Here is a 3,945-nt window from a genome sequence, read left to right as displayed (position 1 = left end):
AAAGAATATAAAGGAATAAACTAGTGATATTACAACATAAATAAATCTCAGATTAATCATGATAAGTGGACAACTCAAACACTTTATACTGTATGATTATATTTATGTGATACTTGGGGAAAGACAAAACTCTAGGGACAGAAAAGAGAACAGTTGATGTAAGGGTGGGGGTGGAATGTGTAGAGATTACTACAAAAGGTAGCAAGAGAACTTTGGAGGGTGTGGAACTATCACCAGTGAAAGGTATCCAAGTTAACAGTGGTGAATGTGTATGCATCTGCAGCAACCTCCATTCTCACTTCCTCAGAAGAAAGCATTTGACTGAGGGGCATAAGGCAGAAAAAGAGACCAAGGCAATTTTCAGAGCAGGAGTAGAAATTTATTTAAAAAGGCTTTAAAACGGGAAAGTATGCTTGAAAGAGACCCAAGCAGGCAACTTGAAGGGCAAGTGTGGTATTGAGCCTTGGTCCTAGGACTTTATAGGCTGGCCCCTTTCCCATGATTCTTTCCTTAGGATGAGCTGCCCACATGTGCCGTGTCCTCCTTACCCTTGGAAGGTGAGTATGCACAGTGCGTTTAAGAAGTTGTACACATGCCCATCTGAGGCTTTCTTCCCTTTTCCAGTGGAGTGCCCCTGGAAAGTCATACTCCACCATTGTCTCTTAATGCACATGCCTGGCAAATTGCATCTCCCTGGTGCCTGCATTCAGTTAACACTTTAGTGCAACAGGTGTGGACCATCAGGAAATGGCCTCTCCCTGGCACTGGCTGCTAATTTATCACTTTTAGAGAAGCAATGTGATAAATGCAGAATCATCACCCAACGTTCTTACTGGGTGGCGGAAGAACCCCCTCCTGCCCCACTCATGCCTGTCTAACTACCTGTAACAGAACTGCTCTATATCTTTATTGTCTTGGTGATTATAGGCCTTTGTGTATTTGTCGAAATTCATAGAACTGCACACCAAAATTGTAAATTATACTGCATGTGAATTATACCTCAATTTCAAACAGAAATAAACAAACAAAAAAGAATGGCTACTGGGGAACATAAATTAAGATAGCAGATATAAGTTTAAATATGTAACTTGACCTTTTAAGAGGCAGAGATTCTCAAAATAGATATTATAAACTCAGCTATATACACTTAACTAGAAATATATCTAAAAGATAATGGCAAAGTTTGAGAGAAAAGTATAGAAACTATGTATCATATAAATAATTACCAAGAAAAATGGTTTAATAACAGTAGTATCAAAGTAAATAAACTTTAATGCAAAAATATAAAACAAAATGGAAAATGTGTCATTCATCTTCACAGGGAACTTTTAAATAGTATCTAACATAAAGATGTGTTACAGATATAACAAAATGTTAATAATTGTTATGTCTGATTACATTGGTACATGGTAGTTTTTCTCATTTGAAATATTTCCAACTAAACAATAAGCAAAAAAAGAAAATAATTTCAATATACAATAAAATTCTAGAAATTCTTAACCTGGATAAATTTTCTTGGAATTTAACTCTACCCTTTAGTTTCTGTACTCACTATAGTTCATCACAATTTAATTTGAGCATCCCACTTTATGGCTATATAAACTCTTATAGACACACAAATATGCACACATACACCAAATATCTAAAATTAATATTCACAATAACCAAGTCATTATTTAGAAACCTACTAATAAAGATGTCCATACTGAGGAAAATACCTTTCCTGCAGCAACAAAAGTAAGTGGTCCTCTGGTATTAATTAATAGCAGCAAGGGATGAATAGGGAATTTTAAAAAGCAAAATTAAAGTGATTTTAAAATGATGGTAATCATCAGATACCTGGGGCCTTAGGAAGTCAAAAGTAGAACAAGTAAGCAAAGAATGCCAGTAGGAGATTCAGACAGTGATCTAAATTCAAATAACCAACACTGTGCGTCCTTTGTAAAAGCATGAGGTGTGGTCTTTCAAGTCTTCAGGCCTGAAATCATTTTTATGCCAGATTTGCATGATATGGATAAGTTTTTTATTAGACAGTAAGTAGCCAGGTATTAAATATAACTTATTTTCCATCTTGATATCTGGGAGCAACTCATTAACCTTGCCAAAGTTTTGCCCTCATGTGCTAATCAAATCAGGAAATGTGTCATAAAGATCTGTCCAGCCAGAAAACTGCTCAGATGACCGCTACTCTATCTCTTTCAAATGAGAAAGTACAACATAAAGGGAGGAAAGTAATTAGTGTGAAAATGTCTAAAAAGATTGTGCTTAAGAAATATTGTGAGAGGTGGAAAGCATAGGGTGCTATGGAACATTCCCAGAAAAGAAGGCAGAGATGTTGTCATTTTTGGCTGTGTCACCAGCATCTAGAGTAATGGCCGCTCATAGCTGAAGTCTAAACAACATTTTAAAATGAATGAGTAAAAGATGTGATTCTCTGTAGAATAGAAAGGAAAATAATACCAATAGTTTTGGAACAGTTAAGAACATCACACACCAGGGGGAGGGGGAGGGATAGCATTAGGAGATATACCTAATGTAAATGACGAGTTAATGGGTGCAGCACACCAACGTGGCAAACCTGCTACGTTGTGCACATATACCCTAGAACTTAAAGTATAATAAAAATATATATATTAAAAAAAAAAAGAAATGTAACTCAGGCTCAAACTCCCTTCTCTAGCCATTGCCTCACACAGCATAGCTGCTGAAAGAATGCACCTGTGCCATTAGATGTACATCAACAGACCCTGGATACAGTGGATTAGCTAAGGTTTGGAATCATGATCAGAAAGAAGCCAATCCATTCTCCAGTGAGAATTTACCAAGATCTGTTTCTAGACTAACCTGATAGAAAGATTCAGGAGTCTGCAGTGGCGGGGCATGGGGAGGGGATGTGATGCCGGAGGCTGGTTCACTTCAGTAGGGATGGCACTGGGTCCAAGAGGTCAAAGAAAAGACCCAAAGACAGCAAATGAGGCATAGGGCTTGTTGGGGGACTTATATACAGGGATGGCCCCATGGCAGTGGACTGGACAGGAGAACCACTACTGTTTGTAAAAAAGCATGCAGTTTGTATAGCATTTTTATTTAGCCACCTCCATCTAGCAAGCCCCACCTAGCACCCTCTATCTAATCCAAAACAAAGGGCCTTAATTCCCTATATAACCTGCATTCCAAGGGATGGGTCAGAGGGTCAGATGTCCTTCATAGATAAGGAATGAATCTCAGGGTTGGCCACTCCAGGATTCCTTGGCTTGGGACTCCAAACACATATTCTTCTTAGACCATAGGGTCATTTTCAGGGTATGCTTAAGCTATGTTACTGCTGTCAAGGGCTGTCATAAACTTCCAATTGTTCAAATAATTAATTGGGAGACTATTCATGATCAGTTGAAGTATCTCCAGAGCCCTGTGTTCTTATGTAAGCAAACAGAAACCCAACTCAGTATAAATAGTAAAACAAAACTTAAGCTTAACCCGTCAGAAATCACCAACTAACCTCTAACTAGGGACTTTCCACTGGAACAACCCAAAAAAGGCTACTGCTTCACTTTAACCAATCAAATATTTTCCTTGCCTTATCTCCGTGTTCACCTTATTTAAAAAGTCTTCCCCTAATGCCCTTTGGTGAAGCCCTGAGCAACATGTGGTCTGGTACTGCTAGATTCATGAGTCCCCATCTGCTCAGGTAAACTCTTTAGAATTTCAGTGTGCCTAAGTTTATCCTTTAACACAGTTCTAAGGCAAACCAGCTAAATATTCTATGCTTTGCTATTATGATACAACTTTTTAGGTTTTGATTCATCTATTCATTGAATGAATGAAATAATACTGAGCTTCTACTTTATATCATGCACTATTCTATATGCTAGAAATAGAGCAATGAACAAAACAAAATATGAGCCCTCAGGCCGTATATTTTAATGGGAAAGAGAGAGGAAGTAG

The 3,945-nt window shown here is 37.8% G+C and overlaps 1 annotated feature.

Moving 5' to 3' along the window:
* Positions 3,404-3,483: an enhancer, noted in NCBI's record as "active region_13488". NCBI's record gives its function as "activates an Ori minimal core promoter by ATAC-STARR-seq in GM12878 lymphoblastoid cells {active_cell/tissue: GM12878}" and the evidence as "EXISTENCE:reporter gene assay evidence [ECO:0000049][PMID:35858748]".

The sequence above is a fragment of the Homo sapiens genome, chromosome 18, assembly GCF_000001405.40.
Source record: "Homo sapiens chromosome 18, GRCh38.p14 Primary Assembly".
NCBI classification, from domain to species: Eukaryota; Metazoa; Chordata; class Mammalia; order Primates; family Hominidae; genus Homo; species Homo sapiens.
This window is presented reverse-complemented; position numbering and strand designations above follow the sequence as displayed.